The 18,974-nt window shown below is 41.6% G+C and overlaps 3 protein-coding genes across 15 annotated transcripts in view; 2 read left to right on the forward strand and 1 right to left on the reverse strand.

Moving 5' to 3' along the window:
- The window catches only part of FAM47E-STBD1 (FAM47E-STBD1 readthrough), a 59,410-nt gene extending 53,313 nt beyond the window's left edge, over window positions 1-6,097 (forward strand). The window contains exon 7 of the mRNA NM_001242939.2: window positions 4,111-6,097. Within this exon, the coding sequence (NP_001229868.1) occupies window positions 4,111-4,140 (30 nt within the window). The 3' untranslated portion in view covers window positions 4,141-6,097. The remainder of the gene's footprint in view (window positions 1-4,110) is intronic.
- STBD1 (starch binding domain 1) lies at window positions 1,700-6,097 on the forward strand. The gene is made up of 2 exons (NM_003943.5): window positions 1,700-1,956; window positions 4,111-6,097. The coding sequence occupies exons 1-2, from the start codon at window positions 1,737-1,739 to the stop codon at window positions 4,965-4,967; spliced, it is 1,077 nt and encodes a 358-aa protein (NP_003934.1). The 5' UTR covers window positions 1,700-1,736; the 3' UTR covers window positions 4,968-6,097.
- Window positions 6,098-8,005: 1,908 nt separating this feature from the next.
- CCDC158 (coiled-coil domain containing 158) overlaps window positions 8,006-18,974 on the reverse strand; it is a 108,831-nt gene continuing 97,862 nt past the window's right edge. For all 13 annotated transcript variants that reach the window (XM_011531911.2, XM_011531917.2, XM_011531909.3 and 10 more), the window contains 2 exons: window positions 18,269-18,376; window positions 8,006-8,213 (listed from right to left, as the gene is read on the reverse strand). In XM_011531911.2, the coding sequence (XP_011530213.1) occupies window positions 8,137-8,213; window positions 18,269-18,376 (185 nt within the window). In that variant the 3' untranslated portion in view covers window positions 8,006-8,136. The remainder of the gene's footprint in view (window positions 8,214-18,268; window positions 18,377-18,974) is intronic.

Raw genomic sequence — 18,974 nt, forward strand, 5'->3', positions numbered from 1 at the left:
GGGGATGCAGATGACACTTGTGCCAAGACCTAAAGGGGATGAGAGAGAGAGGATGTCTGCAGGAAGGATGACTCTAGGCAAGGAAGCCAGTGTGGTTGAAGGTGGCAAGATGGAGATGAGTGCACAGTGGTCATGGGGAACAGATCCTGTAGGGTCTTAAAGGTTCTTCCGTGTGATCTGGAGCAACTGGAGGGTCTTGAGCAGAGAACTGGGGTGTTTTAACAGGATCACGCTGACTGGTGGTTTGAAAGTGGCCTGTGGGAGCTTGCTGTGTTTTGTTTTGCAGCAATGGGAAGGATGTGGTTGCCACTTCCTGAGATGGGGAAGGTGGGGAGAGTAGTAGGTTTGGGGAGTTAGGTGGGGAGTTCAGGTCTGGATGAGTTGGGTTTGAGATGTCTATTAGACATCCACGAGGAGATGCCCAGTAGGCAGTCTTCGCCCTCACCTCTCCTCTACCTCCTCTCTTATGATTACAGAAGTTGTGGCCTGCATCAAGGCGTGCATCAGCCTTCCAGTAACCCCACTGGCAGAACCTTGCACCCCGTTAAGGGCTACTGTCCATTCGGAGCAAGGGGCACATTAGATAATTTGCCCTACCAGAGAGAGCAATTATAGCAATTACTCCAAGGCAGGTGTTTGGTATCTGTGGCCTTTAGCAGTTGAATGTCGGAGTCCAAGGGAAAGGTGTGAGCTGCAGACATAGACGTGGGGATCATCAGCTTGAAGCTGTTGTGCAAAGTCATCAGATCAGCAGAGGAAAGGATTTACAAAGAAATATATATAACACCGCACAGGGTTGTTGTCTTGTGAGGATTAAATTAAATACACACTTAAAACATCCGGAATACAGACAGTGCTTAATAAAGAGCTGCTGTTTTTATTAACAAACTTATCTGTAGGAGCTCGTCCATGGACAACATCCAGTTCATACAGATGCGTGCGCATTTCGCAGCAGCCATACACGCCCAAAGAGGACGAGACTGGATGTGATTGAGCTGACTGGCATCTTTAGATGGATGGTCCTCAGTCCAGTCCTTCCATTTTACAGGCGAGGAGGCGGAAGCTTGGGGAGGCTAAGCGCGCTGAGCTGGCGGCGGAGCGGAGCTTCCACTAGGGCTCCCAGTTTCCCCGCACCGCGCCCGCCGTCCTCCGGGCCACCCATCCCACCCGAACGCGCCACCGCTCTAGCCCGCGCTCCAGCCCGCGCGTCACCGACGCCCGCGGCCTCTCCCACCTCTAAGTTCCAGGAAGCTCTCGGCCTCTAGCTGACCGCGTTGCTGCTGAGCTTCCCTGGGGAGAAGGCGCCGAGGTGCCCGGTGCGGGCCGAGGCAGGGCTGGGCCTCGCGGGCAGCAGGCGGAAGAAGGAAGGGCGGTGGGGCAGGTCCCGGCTGCGCGGGGCAGTTGTGCGCACTTGGGTTCTTCACGCGGGACACACGTGGAACGCCGACCCCTGCGCCCCTGGCCGCTGGCAACTGGCAAGGCCGGGAACAGAAAGTGTAGGGACAGAAGAGCGCTGGAGTCTTCCCCGGGAGGGAGCCCGGGGCTGCAGCCCAGGGGCGGGGAGCGGGGCGGGGCTGGGAAAGTTGAGTACTGGTCGCTCAGGGCCGGGCTCCGCCGGAGTGCCCGGCGCAGAAACCGTAAAAGGCTGGAGCGGGCGGGGTAGGTGTGGCTCTGTGTGCGTGACCTGAGCCCCGGTCCCAGTCCCTGTAGTCTCCTGCGGCCGCGGCCTCTCAGCCATGGGCGCCGTCTGGTCCGCCCTGCTGGTTGGAGGGGGTCTGGCCGGAGCACTTTTCGTTTGGCTGCTGCGGGGCGGCCCTGGCGACACCGGGAAGGACGGGGATGCGGAGCAGGAGAAAGACGCCCCTCTTGGGGGAGCTGCGATTCCGGGAGGCCATCAGAGTGGCAGCAGCGGACTGAGCCCTGGACCTTCCGGGCAGGAGCTGGTCACCAAACCAGGTATTCTTCCCCCCGTGACTCCAGGGCACATCTGCCAGAGCTTTGAGGTTCATCGAGGAAGGGAGCAAAGAGACAAACCCACCTGGAGCTTTCCTAGGGGCCCATTCCTGCGGACGGGCTCTCCTAAGGGGACTGGGCCATCCCCACGCCCCTCGGTTTCCCAGGCTGGTTGGTACGCGCAGGCAGGTTTCTTGTCTGGTCCTCCAAGGGCCGCGCCCTTGCCGAGTCCCTCAGCGCCCGCGCCTGAGGACTTGGTCCTGCCCCTCCGGCGGGGATGAGCTCCTCCACTTGGCGGCGCTTGGTGCAGTGCGGGCGGCTGCAGTGGCGGCGCCCCTTCCCGGCCTTTGGAAAGGGGGGCTTAGGTTTAGGGGATCCTACAAGCCTCTTCGATCTCTGCCCAAGCAGGGACATTTTCTAAGTCCCAATCCGGGTAGTCTGACATCCTCCCATCGCACAGCCCATGAAGAGCTGGGTTTGGGAACACCCGAACTGCGGGCGCCTCCTGCTATCTGGATGCTTCTTTAGGAAGGCAAAGTTCAGGTTGGACTCTGGCCATGAAGGCTGTGGCTGAGGCCCTGGGGATGTGCCTTGGTCACCCCTTTCAGCACTGTCGGCAGTCCCCTCCACGCTGCCCCAGAATAGGGCCGGATAGTCATCCCTAGGAAGGGACTACTTAAATAGGGGACCCAACCCTGATGAGTAGAATTGACATCTGGGTTTAAATTTCTGTATTTTAGGGACCGTTTGCTAAGCAGAGAGCGAACACTGGCAGAAAAGCTTACCGTCCAGTGCCCTCCCTTGGCAAGCTGCCCATGCCTGGACAGAAGCCTAATGGTGAAAATGACATCTGTGAACTTTATTTTTAGCCCAGTGGTGTTCATGTGCAGCCATATGAAAATCTGCCCGTGTGCCTTTACTGTGATTGGTCTGGGATGCCTAGACAGTTCACTTATCTTTTTTCTGAAGACCAATCTCATGCTTTAGGTTGAAAAGTTGGGAATCCAGAATAATATTTGTTCATTCTCACTTCCAACTCCCACCATCACCGAGGCGGGCAAATCACAAGGTCAGGAGTTCGAGACCAGCCTGGCCAATATGGTGAAACCCTGTCTCTACTAAAAGTACAAAAATTAGCTGGGCGTGGTAGTAGGCGCCGGTAGTCCCAGCTACTTGGGAGGCTAAAGCAGGAGAATCGCTTGAACCCGGGAGACAGAGGTTGCAGTGAACCGAAATCGTACCACTGCACTCACTCCAGCCTGGGTGACAGAGCGAGACTCCATCTCAAAAAAAAAAAAAAAAAAGGGATAAAATGAAACAAGACTGTTGTCCCCATACCACCACCACCCCCACACCACATAAAACCACAGCTGTGCTGATTGTATGTATGATTTGGAGATTTCAATCTTGTAGGGAGCTATTTGGACTACCAATGGCATGGCCAAGAAGGAAACTGCATTTTTAGAGGACTTGGATTTTGTATTTTTAAGAACGTTTTTTAAAAAATGCTTACAATGGAAGGGGATACAAAACACCGTTTTGTTGGGGAGGTTCCTAACGCATATGGGATTGGCAAGGAGAAACCAGCCCCTTCCCCCAGTTCTCCCTCCACTCCTGCCCAGGGAAGCACTACTGTTCTCCGTATCTCCCCAAGGTGACAGCTCCTGCTGATCTGCCCGCAGGTCTGCGAGAGCCAATCCCTGCCCTGCATGCCTCCCCTGGGAGAACAAGTGTACTCTTCTGGTTTGTAACGTAGCCACGCAGCCCTTTGCCCCACAGCCTGGACAACATTCTTTGATGATAGGAGCCAAGCAACTTAACTTGGCTGCATGCCAGTATGGCCTGGACTGTGGAGACTGGGGACCATGGGGGGGTTACACGTCTGCCTCTACAGCTTACCACTTCATTTACACTTGTGCTGGCACACTGATACTCCTGGATGTCCCTTTTGTTGTCAGATATACATGTGTATTCTTAGAGCACAGTGTTGGGAGCATACTGGTTAATTAAGTAGTACTTGATTTTAATAGAGGGGGACTTTGTGAATTGCAGATTGATTAGTAGTAAAGCTTTCAGTAACTAAATCTATTTTCTCAGCCTGACTTTTTTCTTAAATGAACTACCTGACTCTATTACATTTTTCCTTTGATTTCTTAGAGCATCTTCAAGAAAGCAATGGACATTTGATTTCTAAGACCAAAGACCTTGGTAAACTGCAAGCAGCATCATGGAGATTGCAGAATCCTTCCAGGGAAGTCTGTGACAATTCAAGAGAACATGTTCCTTCTGGACAGTTTCCAGACACAGAAGCTCCAGCTACCTCTGAGACCAGTAACTCTAGGAGTTACTCTGAAGTTTCAAGAAATGAAAGCCTTGAATCTCCTATGGGAGAATGGGGATTCCAAAAAGGACAAGAGATATCTGCTAAAGCAGCTACATGTTTTGCAGAGAAGTTGCCTTCTAGCAACCTGCTCAAGAACAGAGCTAAAGAAGAAATGAGCCTCTCTGATTTGAACAGTCAGGACCGGGTTGACCACGAGGAGTGGGAAATGGTGCCTAGGCACTCATCTTGGGGGGATGTTGGTGTGGGTGGCAGTCTTAAGGCTCCAGTGTTAAACCTAAACCAGGGAATGGACAATGGAAGAAGCACTTTGGTGGAAGCAAGAGGTCAGCAAGTGCATGGGAAAATGGAAAGGGTAGCAGTGATGCCTGCAGGGTCTCAGCAAGTTAGTGTCAGGTTCCAGGTCCATTATGTCACAAGCACTGATGTGCAATTCATTGCAGTAACTGGAGACCATGAGTGTCTTGGGAGATGGAACACTTACATCCCACTCCACTATAACAAGGATGGGTTCTGGTCTCATTCCATTTTCCTGCCTGCAGATACAGTGGTGGAGTGGAAGTTTGTGTTGGTAGAGAATGGGGGAGTTACCCGCTGGGAAGAATGCAGCAATAGATTCCTAGAAACTGGCCATGAGGATAAAGTGGTTCACGCATGGTGGGGGATTCACTGATTCAGTTTGCAAAGTAATGGAGAAGCTGTAGAACAATGTGGAAGAGGCTGAGGTTGTGGAACACACTGAATAAAATAAAGGCAGTGTGACTCCAAATTCAGCCATCTGAATTGTTTAAATTTGCTAGTGGATTTTGTCTAATGTGCAGAAATATATATGTCTAATGTGCAGAAATATATATGTGTGTATGTGTGTATATATATGCACACACACACAGATAATGCTTCCAGTGAATGTGAACTTCTTTTCCCTGTGGCACTGATTGACAGACTTGTGCTGATCCATTATTACTTTAGGGCTTGATTCTCTTGGGGAGTGACTTGGCTAAGCTTCAGGTGTAAACTGTGGTCACGGAGCAAAAACATTAACCAGCTGCCCAGGGTTCAAGCTTGAGCCTTTAGGTGATCTTTAAACTATGGTAGTAAAATAAGCCTCACTCAAACATAGCTGACTTCCTATTGGTACAGCTTGAAAAGCACTTTTTACTACATACACATTTTATGCTTAAAAAGTTAACATGATACGAAACTGTGATTAGAAAATATCTGGTCTGGATGTGATTAGTAAGGATACAAGATAATGTTCTAAGACTGCCTAATGCTTTTTGTTTGATTTTCATCTGCCAGGCGTTGTTATGTGCTATGAGGGTAGCAAGTACGTCTTTGTCTTAATGATCTAAGGCTGGTGTAGAAACAAAGGGCCTAATGAGAACCAATCATCATGGAAGTCAGTTGCGGGGGCAGCCCATAAGGAAAGGGAAAGTGAGTGGGGTTGGGCATAGGCTGAGTGAGGTGGCCTGAATGACACCTCTTAGAGGACTGTGAAGTACAGGCACAGCCCGACTGCAGGGAGGGATGCACCCATCATTTACCCATGGGAGCATCTGTAGGACCATCTCTCTCCCACTTCTTCTCCCCTCCCCCACCGCATCTGGCCAGATGGACTGTCCTACAGCAATCGTTTCCATCTGTCACCCTCTTCCCTCTCCTTTCATACCAGTCACTATCTTGGGTAACAAATTTATACAGGACAGTGGTACAGAAATACATCTTTGCTCTGAGAATACAGCAAATATTAACTTAAATTATTATAACTGAACAAATAATAAAACCTGAATTTTAATATCTTCATTTGATGTCTGAATTATTTGTCTAAATTTTAGTATCACAATAGCCTAGATGTAAAATAAAATACAAATATTTTCCTCCACTAATAAGAGACATATACAGAAAAGCAAACATCAAAAGGTACAGAAGACATGAAGATTCTGTTTTTCTCCTCCCTTTGGAGAAAAAGTTGACAATATTTATTCTCAAAGTTCACCTTTGACTGGAGGGAAATTCAGCACGCCTGTACTTGAAAATGAATTCTTACATGTTAAAATAACTTTTAATAAGTTTAACATCTATCAGTGAAATAATGTTTAATCCTTTTAAACAGATGGTCTTTGCTGAAAAGAATAAACCCAACTGAAAATAGCATTAGAAAGTACTTAAAAGAACTATGTTTGACAGTTTTTGGCTCATAGCACTTTTATGTTAAATTCATGTATACTGTTTACAGACTTCATAATGAATTTTATATTGTACCAGTAAGCTCTGCAGAAGGCATTCACCATTACTGCATGGAATGCCCAAACATGCCCATGAGGAAAATTAAAGGTAAAACAATTTAAGTAAAAGTCTCTCTAGAATTCTATTACTGGCTATTTTATCACTACCTGGTAAAATTAAAATTAATCTTTCAGTAAAGCCAACTGATCTAAGAGAGAAATATTACACTTTATATTTTAAAAATTCACTTAAAATTGGATGTGCTTACAGTTCTAACATTGTCCTTGAGAGCAGAAGCGTGAGGATCTTCTGGTGAGAGCATGCATGCCCTACTCCATTTGTTGTCTGCATAGGTTAGGGCTGCTGCTAGCTGCTGTAATAGACACCATCCATTTAAGAAGGCTGCAGCACCAGAGGCCGATTTCTTGCTCATGTAACTGTCAGCAGTGAGTCTTCCTGGCAGGAGGGCAGCTCCCCTCCTTGCAGAGATTCAGTTACCCAGACTCCCTTCTGCCCTGTGGCTCTGCCATCCCCTATAATAACCCTCATGTCCTCTGCATCCAGCCCATGGAGGGGAAAATAAAGTTAGGAAGAACACCCATGCATGTTAACACTTTGACCTGAAAGTGCCACATATTGCTCTGTCCACATTCTGTTAATGAGAACCCTCAGGCCACACCCATATACAAGGGGAGGCAGGATTGGGAAATAGAGACTCTTGCTGGGCAGCTGTTTCTCAGTGACAATTCCAGGTTATACAACAGGAACATAAGATTTATTTTGGACAGCTAGCCATCTGCCACGTTGTCCCTGATGTTTTGACACAACTGATACATTTTTGTATTTGTTCTTCTCTCATTTTATTTAGTTCACATATAAACCTCCCTAATTTATTAAAATTTAATTAAAGCAGACTGAATAGATATAATCTAGAAGTTACCAACTTGCTAAAGAGTAACAAAATCATTTTCTTTACTATTATTAATATGCAAAAAAGGGAAACTTTTGTAAAAGTTTTGACTGGGGGCCCTGATGTTAGGTTATCTGATTACCCTCACTGATATTGACAGAACAGTGAGTTCACAGTCACAAAATGAGCCCCTGTTAGTATGCTGAAATTTGTCCTCTGTCCTTGGTATTACACCACGTCTTTCACTTTCATGTGAAAGTAGTTCTTCCCCCAGATTTTTTTTGAAGCTAAATTAGATTGAATAAAACATTTAAATTAAATTAAAATTTAAGTAGAATAAAATAAATAAAATAGATTCTATTGTCTTGGGACCAGTAACAATAAAAAACCACAATTATTCCAATATATTAGAATAAGCACAAATTATATCTTATAATTAATCACCTTATAAGGTAATTATAATACCTTATTATGTATGAATACTTTATAGGTATTAATTGTTATAATGTATGAATACTAGCTAGTAGATGTTTGAAGTTTTACTGTGAGGGATTCAAGAATAGTTTATTTCAAAATAGAGTTTACAAGACAGGGTATCTTTTATTAAATTTTCACATAAAAAGAAAAAGTACACAGGGCACTAATTACGAGTAACACCACAATTAATTGGGCCTCATTCCTCTGTAAAGAATAGGCAAGCAACGAGTCATTTTAGTAACATTTTTTCCTGGTCTTTTACTTTCTGTATCCTCTTTTCTTGATTTCTGATCATTGAAGACATTGCTGAAAATGTTGATAAAACAGTTAGAATAACAAAATCTACTTAGGCTTTAATTCTACTATGTGCTACTTAAAAGATCAGCTTGATAGTATAGAATAGACATGTTCTGAGCTCAAGACATTCTTAAAAATTGTGATGTAGCATATTTTTGAAAAGGTTGGTGTTATGGAAGAGAGCTAAGGGTAAATCTTTAGTGTTTCAGGTGTTTTATTTACTTATTTATTTTGTAGAGACAGGGTCTCTCTATGTTGCCCAGGGTGGTCTAAGACTCCTGGCCTCAAGCAATCCTCCTGCCTCGGTCTCCCAAAGTGTCAGGATTACAGACATAAGCCACTGTGCCCAGCCTCAGTTGTTTTAAATGGGCATGATAATTGTAAAAGTAATACTAATTGTAAATAATTCAAACACCTCAGAAGGACACAAAGATAGATGAAGGTCAGTCTTTGTCTCTGCTCCCTCAATCTGCTGGAATCTGCCTCCGCCCAAGAGGTCATTACCATAAGCAATTTGGTGAATATCTGCACATATACATGAATGTGCACATGTTTTATTCTTTACACAAATGAAAACATATGCTATAGACTGTTCTGTAGCTTCTTTTTCATATAACAAAACGTCAATAAGTTTCCAGTTCAGCTTATGTTTTGTTGTAACTGCATAGTATTTACTAGTATTTCATTATACAAATGTATTAGAATTTAGTAAACAGACTAAAAAAGGTTACATCCTTTTTCTAAACATCCTTTTTTCTTTCTTTCTTTCTTGCTATAATAAATACTTTTGTATAAACACTTCTGTGCATTTGTACAATCATTTCTTATAGAATAAATTGCTAGAAGTGAAATTTCTGGGTCAAAGCGTAAATGCACTTCAAGTTTTGACAGTCCTCCCAGAATTCCCCCTAAAAATATTTGTTTTAGAATTTTCAAGAGGCGTCCCATCCAGACACTGCATTCAGCAAAAAGGTCTTTTTATTTTGTAAATATCTTCCATGTGGATTATTATTTGGTGGCATACATCAGATAAATTCAGAAACATATGTCATGGTGTGAGTAAAAATAGGATCAATAAGATAATGCATCTTCCTTCAAAAAACTCACAATAGATGTGGAGAGGAAGATGGCAGATAGGAGACAGGGCTAACGTGCAGCTCCAACTTGGATGGACAGAGCAACGTGTGGAGACTCACACTGTTGACTTTTGCTCCAAGAGCCACTGCAGGAACATACTGGGAAAACCAAAAGAATTTACAGATACTTTGAAAAAAGTGGCATGCCACTGCAAATTCCACAAGATAGGTAAAAAACTGTGAGTTCCCAAAGTGTGGAGGGGGAAATCCTGCCTCTCAACAAATACCCCCATTGGGGAACCTGAAAATCCAGATTACGGGAGAAGGATTTAACCTTACCTAGAGCTGGAACAAATTTAGCGCAAAATATAAAAGTAGAAGGAGCAGTGGGAAGAGCCTTGGAGGCATTCCCATTCTCCAGCTCGAGCCCAGGGAAGCCATCCCTGACTATATCTCACAGGGGCCCTCGGGAAAGGTGGCTGGCAGAATTTGGGAGTGGTCACAGGGTGAAAGAAGCTTCCAACTGAACTCTGTAATAATTTCAACTGGGCACAAACTCTTTTGAGCGGAATCTGGGTGGTGAATGGGAAATGCTACAGAAAGGAGCACAGAAGCCACTACTGACAGTGTGGGCAGACAGGAAGGGGCAGGTGAGACGTGAAAGCCATACTTGCTTTGTCAGTGGGGAAGTTTATAGCACGGGCAAGGTCTGATCTGCCCGCCACCCCCAACCACCACCCTGCACTGGCTGCCTGGAGACACTGGCGCTGTTAGCAGGGCATGGTGGGAGCAAGATTGGCCTTGCCAACTGTGTGGGAGCTAGGTAAGGCCTATCACACAGGCTTTCCCCAACTTCCTTGGCAACAGAGGCAGCCAAAATCACCTCTGGAACATAACTCCACTGGCCCAAGAACCATCCTGCGTACCCCACAGTGGCCACGGCAAGCCCTACACAAGGAGAGTCTGAGCTCAGACCCACCTAACTCTGCCCCAACCTGATGGTATTTTTTTCCCTGCCCTGGTAGCTGATCACAAAACACACAAACTATTGAGAGCTTGATGGCCCTGCACATCACCCGATAAACCCAAATACTTATCCTGGCCAACTTAGGGCAAGCTTACATTCCCCTGTCTACTATCATAGCTTGTGCCGTCTTGAAAGTGCCACCCCTTGGCTGGAGGCCAACCAACTCCGAACATTACAGTAACTCATGATAGAAATGATAGAATAACCCTGCACCAAGGAAGAAGAAAACAGCAGCTAATTCCACTGCCTGCAACATTCTGGCTAACCAGAGGTACTAAGTCTGTCCATGTGAAAATATCACTGCTAGCATAATCAGTATTTGATTAAGCCAGGACACTAAACATATCTATGACCAAGGACTCTCACAGAGTGTACTTTACTCCCCTACGTCCTCTACCAGAGGAGGTGCTGGTATCCACGGCTGGGAGACGTGAAGATGAATCACATCACAGCACTCTTTGCAGAAATTTCCCAGCACCAGCCCCGAGTCTGGTAGCCCTACTGAGTGGCTAGATGTGCAAGAACAATAATGATCATTGCAGTCCAGCTCTCAGGAAGGCCCATCCCTTGGGGGAGGGGGAGGACACCACATCAAGGGGTCACCCTGTGGGACAAAAGAATCTGAACCTTGAGTTCCGGGCTTTTCCACTGAAATAGTTTACCCAAATCAGAAGGAATCAGAAAAGCGATTCTGGAAATATGACAAAACAAGGTTTGATAACATCCCCAAAAGGCCACACTAGCTTGCCAGCAATGCAGTTAAACCAAGAAGAAATCTTTGAATTGCCAGATGAAGAATTCAGAAGGTTGATTAAGCTACTCATGGAGATACCAGAGAAAGGTAAAAACCAACTTAAAGAAATCTAAGAAACAATACAGAATATGGATGAAAAATTCTCCAGAGAAATAGATATAAAGAAAAACAATCACAATTTCTGGAAATGAAAGACACACTTATAGAAATACAAAATGCACTGGAAAGTGTCAACAATAGACTAGAACAAGTAGAAGAGAGACCTTCAGAACTTGAAGACAAGGCTTTCAAATTAGCCCAATCAGACAAAGACAAAGAAAAAAGAATTTAATAAAATTGAACAAAGCCTCCAAGAAGTCTGGGATTATGTTAAACGGCCAAACCAAAGAATAATTGGTGTTCATAAGGAAGAAGATGAATCTAAAAGTCTAGAAAACTTATTTAAGGGAACAATTGAGGAAAATTTCCCTAGACTCACTAGTGATCTAGACATTCAAATACAAGAAGCTCAAAGAATACCTGTGAAATTCACTGCAAAAAGATCTCCACCTAGGCACACGGTCATCAGGTTATCTAATGTCAAGATGATGGAAAGAATCTTAAGAGCTGCAAAGTAAAAGTATCAGGTAAGCTATAAAGGAAAACCTATCAGATTAACAGCAGATTTCTCAGCAGAAACCCTACAAGCCAGAAGGAACTGGGGTCATATTTTTAGCCTCCTCAAACAAAATAATTGCCAGCCAATAATTTTGTATCCAGCAAAACTAAGCTTCATGAATGAAGGACAGATAAAGTCTTTTGCAGACAAAAAAAAAAAAAAAAAAAAAAATGCTGAGAGAATTCACCAGTACCAAACCATCACTAAGAAATGCTAAAAGGAATTCTAAATCTTGAAATAAAACCTCAAAACACACCAAAATTGAACCATCTTAAAGCATAAATCTCACAGGGCCTATAAAACAATAACACAATGAAAAAAAAAACCAAGGTAATTCAGGCACCAACTAGTAGGATGAACAAAACAGTATCTCGTATTTCAATACTAACATTGAATGTAAATGACCTAAATGTGCCACTTAAAGATACGGAATGGCAGAAAGGATAAAAATCTACCAACCAAGTATCTGCTGTCTTCAAGAGACTCACCTAATGCACAAGGACTCACATAAACTTAAGGTAAAGGGATGGAAAAAGATATTCCATGCAAATGGATACCACAAACGAACAGGGGTAGCTAGTCTTATATCAGACAAAACCCACTTTAAAGCAACAACAGTTCAGAAAGACAAAGAGGGATATTATATAGTGATAAAGGATCAGTCCAACAGTAAAATATCACAATCCTAAATATATATGCACTTAACACTGGAGCTCCCAAATTTATAAAATGATTACTACTAGACCTAATAAATGCAATAGATGCTAATACAATAATAGTGGAGGACTTCAATATTCCACTGATACCACTAGACAGGTCATCAAGACAGAAAGTCAACAACAACAACAAAAAACAATGCACCTAAACAATGCAATGAACTTAAACTATATCCTAGAACAAACAGACTTAACAGATATTTACAGAACATTCTACCCAACAACTGCAGAATATACATTCTTTTCATTAGCCCATGGAACATTCTCCAAGGTAAACCAAATGATAGGCCACAAAACAAGTCTCAACAAATTTAAGAAAAGCAAAATGATATCAAGTATTCTCTCAGACCACAGTGGAATAAAACTAGAAATTAACTCCAAAAGGAACCCTCAAAACTATATAAATACATGGAAATTGAATAATCTACTCTGGAATCATCTTTGGATCAATAATGAAATCAAGATGAAAATTTAAAAATTCTTCGAACTGAATGAAACTAGTGACACAATTTATCATACCCTCTAGGATACAGCAAAAGTGGTGCTAAAAGGAAAGTTAATAGCCTTAAATGCCTACATAAACAAGTCTGAAAGAGCACAAATAGACACTCTAAGGTCACACCTCAAGGAACTAGAGAAACAAGAACAAACTAAACCCAAACCCAGCAGAAGAAAAGAAATAACAAAGATCAGAACAGAATTAAATGAAATTGAAGTAAATAAATAAAAAACAATACAAAAGACAAATGAAACAAAAAGCTTGTTCTTTAAAAAGATAAAATTATTAGACCATTAGTGAGATTAACCAAGAAAAGAAGATAGAAGATCCAAATAAGCTCAATTAGAAATGAAATGAGAGATTTTACAACTTATACCACAGAAATACAAAAGATCATTTAGGGCTACTATGAACACTTTTATGTGCACAAACTAGAGAATCTAGAGGAGATGGAAAATTCCTGGAGATATACAACCCTCCTGATTAAGCTAGGAAAAAAAACAGAAACTCTGAAGAGACTAATAACAAGTAGTGAGATTGAAACAGTAATTAAAAAAATGCCAACAAAAAGAAGTCCAAGACCAGATGGATTCACAGCTGAATTCTATCAGGCATTAAAAAAGGATTGGTACCCATCTTAATGAAACTGTTTCAAACATAAAGAAATAGGGAATCTTCCCTAAATCATTCTGTGAAGTCAGTATCACCCTAATACTAAAAGCAGGAAAGGACATAACAAAAAAAGAAAACTACAGAGCAATATCCATGATGAACACAGATGCAAAAATCCACATATTCTATGAAGTCAGTATCATCCTAATACTAAAACCAGGAAAGGACATAACAAAAAAAGAAAACTACAGACCAATATCCATGATGATGCCGGGTGCAGTGGCTCACACCTGCAATCCCAGCACTTTGGGAGGCCAAGGTGGGCAGATCACGAGGTCAAGAGTTCGAGACCAGCCTGGCCAACATGGTGAAACCCCATCACTACTAAGAATACAAAAATTAGCTGGGAGTGGCCAGGCGCGGTGGCTTACGCCTGTAATCCCAGCACTTTAGGAGGCTGGGGTGGGCAGATCTTGAGGTCAGGAGATGAAGACCATCCTGGCTAACACAGTGAAACCCTGTCTCTATTAAAAATGCAAAAAATTAGCCAGGCGTGCTGGTGGGCGCCTGTAGTCCCAGCTACTTGGGAGGCTGAGGCAGGAGAATGGTGTGAACCCGGGAGGCAGAGCTGGCAGTGAGCTGAGATCGTGCCACTGCACTCTAGCCTGGGCAACAGAGCAAGACTCCATCTTAAAAAAAAAAAATTAGCTAGGCATGGTGGCATGTGCCTGTAATCCCAGCTACTCAGGAGGCTGAGGCAGGAGAATCACTTGAACCCGACAGGTGGAGGTTGCAGTGAGCTGAGATCATGCCACTGCGCTCCAGCCTGGGTGACAGAGCAAGACTCCGTATCAAAAAAAAAAAAAAAAAAAAAAAAAAAAAAAAAATATATATATATATATATATATATATATATATATATATATATATGTCCATGATGAACATAGATGCAAAAATCCACAACAAAATATTAGCTAACTGAATCCAACACCATATCAAAAAGATAATACACCATGATCAAGTGGGTTTCATACCAGGGATGCAGGGATGGTTTAACCTACTCAAGTTGATAAATATGATACATCACACAAACAGAATTGAAAACAATAATCATATCATCATCTCAAAAAATGCAGAAAAATCATTTGACAAAATCCAGCATCCCTTTATAATGAAAACCCTCGGCAAAATCGGCACAGATGGGACATACCTCAAGGTAACCAAAACCATCTATGACAAACTCATAGCCAACATTATACTGAAAGGGGAAAAATTGAAAGCATTTTCCAAGAGAACTTGTACAAAACGAGGATGCCCACTTTCACCACTGCTATTCAACATTGTACTGGAAGTCCTAGTCAGAGCAGTCAGACGAGAGAAAGAAATAAAGGGCATCCAAATGGGTGAAGAGGAAGTCAAACTATTGCTGTTTGCTGATGATATGATCCTATGCCTAGAAAACCTTAAAGACTCATCCACAAAGCTCCTAGATCTGATAAATGAATTCAGTAAAGTTTCAGGATACAAAATCAATGTACACAAATCAGTACCATTGCTACACACCAACAATGACCAAGCTTGGTATCAATTCAAGAACCCAGCCCCTTTTATAACAGCTGCAAGAAAAATAAAATACTTGGGAATATACCTAACCAAGGAGATGAACAATCGCTACAGGAAAAACTACAAATGCTGCTGAAGGAAATCATAGACAACACACACAAATGGAAACACATTTCATGCCCATGGATGGGTAGAATCAGTATTGTGGAAATGATCATACTGCCAAAAGCAATCTACAAATTCAATGCAATTCCCATCAAAATACCATCATCATTCTTCACAGAACTGGAAAAAACATTCCTAAAATTCATAAGGAACAAAAAAAAGATCCCACATAGCCAAAGCAAGACTATGCAAAAGAACAAATCTGGAGGCATCACATTACTTGACTTCAAACTATACTACAAGGCTATCATCACCAAAACAGCATGGTACTGGTATAAAAATAGGCACATAGACCAATGGAACAGAATAGAGAACCCAGGAAGAAAGCCAAAAATTTACAGCCACTGATCTTCGACAATGCAAACAAAAACATAAAGTGGGGAAAGGACACCCTATTTAACAAATGGTGCTGGAATAATTGGCAAGTGGCATGTAGAAGAATGAAACTTCAACTCAAGATGGGTCAAAGACCTAAACCTAAGACCTGAAACCACAAAAATTCTAGAAGATAACATCAGAAAAACTCTTGTAGACATTGGGTTAGACAAGAGTTCATGACCAAGAACCCAAAAGCAAATGCAACAAACACAAAGATAAATAGATGGGACCTAGTTAAATTAAAAAGCTTCTGCATAGCAAAAGAAATAAGCAGCAGAGTAAACAGACAACCCACAGAGTGGAAGAAAATATTTGCAAACTGTGCATCTGACAAAGGACTAATATCCAGAATCTACAAGGAACTCAATCGAATCAGCAAGAAAAAAACAAATAATCCCATTAAAAAGTCGGCTAAGGACATGAATAGACAATTCTCAAAAGAAGATACACAAATGGTCAACAAACATATGAAGAAATGCTCAACATCACTAATGATCAGGGAAATGCAAATCAAAACAACAGTATGATACTACCTACTCCTGCAAGAATGGCCATAATTTAAAAATATGACATAAGTTAAAAATATGACCAACAGATGTTGGTGTGGATGTGGTAAAAAGGGAACACTTTTACACTGTAAACTAGTACAACAACTATGGAAAGCAGTACAGAGATTTCTTAAACAACTAAAAGTAGAACTACCATTTGATGCAGTAATCCCACTACTGGAGGAAAAGAAGTCATTATATGTAAAGGACACTTGCACACGCATGTTTATAGCAACAAAATTCACAATTGCAAAAATATGGAACCAGCCTAAATGCTCACCAACCAACTAGTGGATAAAGAAAATTATATCGATCTATCTATATATATAGAGAGACTATTACATGGTGTGTATATATATATAATATAATATATTATATATATATGCACACACCTCAGCCACCTCCCATTCTTCCCCCATATATATACCATGTATATTTTTATATATATATATATTTACATGGTGTGTGTATATATATATATGATATATTTACATGGTGTGTACACATATATATGTAAATATATATATTTTTTATATATATATAATAAATATATATATGTATATATATACACACCATGTAATACTACTCAGCCATAAAAAGGAATAAAATAATGGCATTTGTAGCAACCTGCATGGAGTTGGAGACCATTATTCTAAGTGAAGTAACTCAGGAAAAGAAAAACAAACATTGTATGTTCTCATTATATGTGGGAGCTAAGCTATGAGGACGCAAAGGCATAATAATAATACGATGGACGTTGAGGACTTGGGGGAAGGGTGGGAGGTGGGTGAGGGAAAAAAGATACATCATATACTGCTTGGGTGATGGGTGCACCAAAATCTCAGAAATCACCACTAAAGAACTTTTCCCTGTAACTAAACACCACATGTTCCCCCCAAACTATTGAAATTTAAAAAAAAATGCTAAAACCCCACAAATTCACAATAAACTTAAAACCAAATGCTTTTCCTAATGTTCATATACATAGGGGTCTTGGGTTATCACAGGGACTTGGAATTTTCTTCAACAACAATTTGCTAAAGCCTTACTATATTAAAAACATGTGGATTTTGGAGTCAGAAATTGCAGAGGCCAAGTCCCCGATCTACTCTTCACTGTGACTTGGAATTTATTGACTGTTCTTTTATCTTCAGTTTCCTCATTTTCAAATGCTGTAATAACAGTACCCATTTCCCAATGTTGTTGTGAAAATTACATGAAGAAAACGCAAGTGAAGCTCTGAGTAAAAGGCCTGGCACACAGTTGGGAAGTGCTCAATTAAGTGTAAATAGCAACTATTATTATTAATAAGGTTAAGTTTATTTTATGAAGATTCGTTCTTAGAATAGTATTTTCCTTTACCCAGCAATTTATTGTTTTCTAGGGATAGAAAAGATGGCATAAAAAATGTACTTCAAAATTCATTTCTCTCTGATAAAGGCTCCTGGATTCATGAAGGCGGGTTATAAAAGCATGAATCATGAGGGCTCCCCCATATTCATGGTACTTAGAACTTATGCCCAAAAAGCTGCTGGTCATCTGCAGATTAGAACAGTTTCTTATTCAAATAGTTTTAGCATTTTTAGAAGTGGATTCTTTTTATTTTGTGATTCGTTGGGTGGCATAGTGTCTTATAGTGCTATGCTAATTTAAATCCTGTGTAAAGATAAATACCATTATTTTGCTTTCTTGCTATTGACTATACTCTTTTCTTGGCTATTATTGTATAAATGTTTATCTATAGACCTAATAGCAACAAGAAAGACGGTGTGTGGGAAAGTCCCATGTGACAAGCCACTCAGAACCTCAAAACCACTCCTCCTGAGGGATGGCCGGCAGGATTGTCATCCCCATTAGATAAGAGAGTATAGCAGGGCAAGAGTGACCTGCCCATGGTCACACAATTAATCCAGGGGCTATTAATGGTTAAGACCCTTATATTTAGACTTCAGTTTACAGTTGTTAATTCAATACCCTTTCAGCAGGTCTATAGACAGGAGGCTTAATCTGAAAAGAAGGTGAACATTCTCATGAGCGAGGAAGATCTCTCCAAAAACGTACACTGTACCTTGGTTCTTCAGCTGTAAATCTTCTACCAGAGTTTGCAAGCTTTCTAGTCTGTTCTGAAGCTTCCTGCATGTTTTTCCTGTTGTTTCTATTGGCGGAGACTGTGAATCTATTAGAAAATTGCTTAGATGTGATATTAAAAGTCTACTCAACATTTCCTTTTAGAAATCTTTGAATTAAAGGCTAAACAATTTTTCTTTAAAATAAAGGGAACTTTTTTTCATGACAAATTCTAAAAGAGCTATAACACTTAAAGGAAACTCTAAAACATGATTTTAAAAGAGAGAAAAATGAGTTTTATCTAAATATTGCAATGCTAGCCTATTTGATTGTGCTCAAACCAATCCGATGTATCATTATTTAACTACATAATATTAAATAAGATGGGTGAAAAGAACACTTCAAGTTTAATGATGCATTCTGCATTATAAATGACAGCTTTTCGTACCAAGCCTGAGTAGTTTGATTAACTTGGGGTTTGAGGGAGTATGATCTAATATAGAAACTGCACCATTTTCAAGGTATGTGAGGCCAGTGCCCACGTTAGTTCTGTCACCTAACGTGAATGGTATTGTATGATGGCAGAGGGTGGCATGGATGCCAACATGATCACACTGAACCTAGAACAAATGTGGCAGTGGCAACTAAAGAAGGCCTAGGAGCATGTAAGCTATTCTCTTACCAGTATGCTGTTTTGTCAACCTCTA

Source organism: Homo sapiens, chromosome 4, assembly GCF_000001405.40.
Source record: "Homo sapiens chromosome 4, GRCh38.p14 Primary Assembly".
Lineage (NCBI taxonomy): Eukaryota > Metazoa > Chordata > Mammalia > Primates > Hominidae > Homo > Homo sapiens.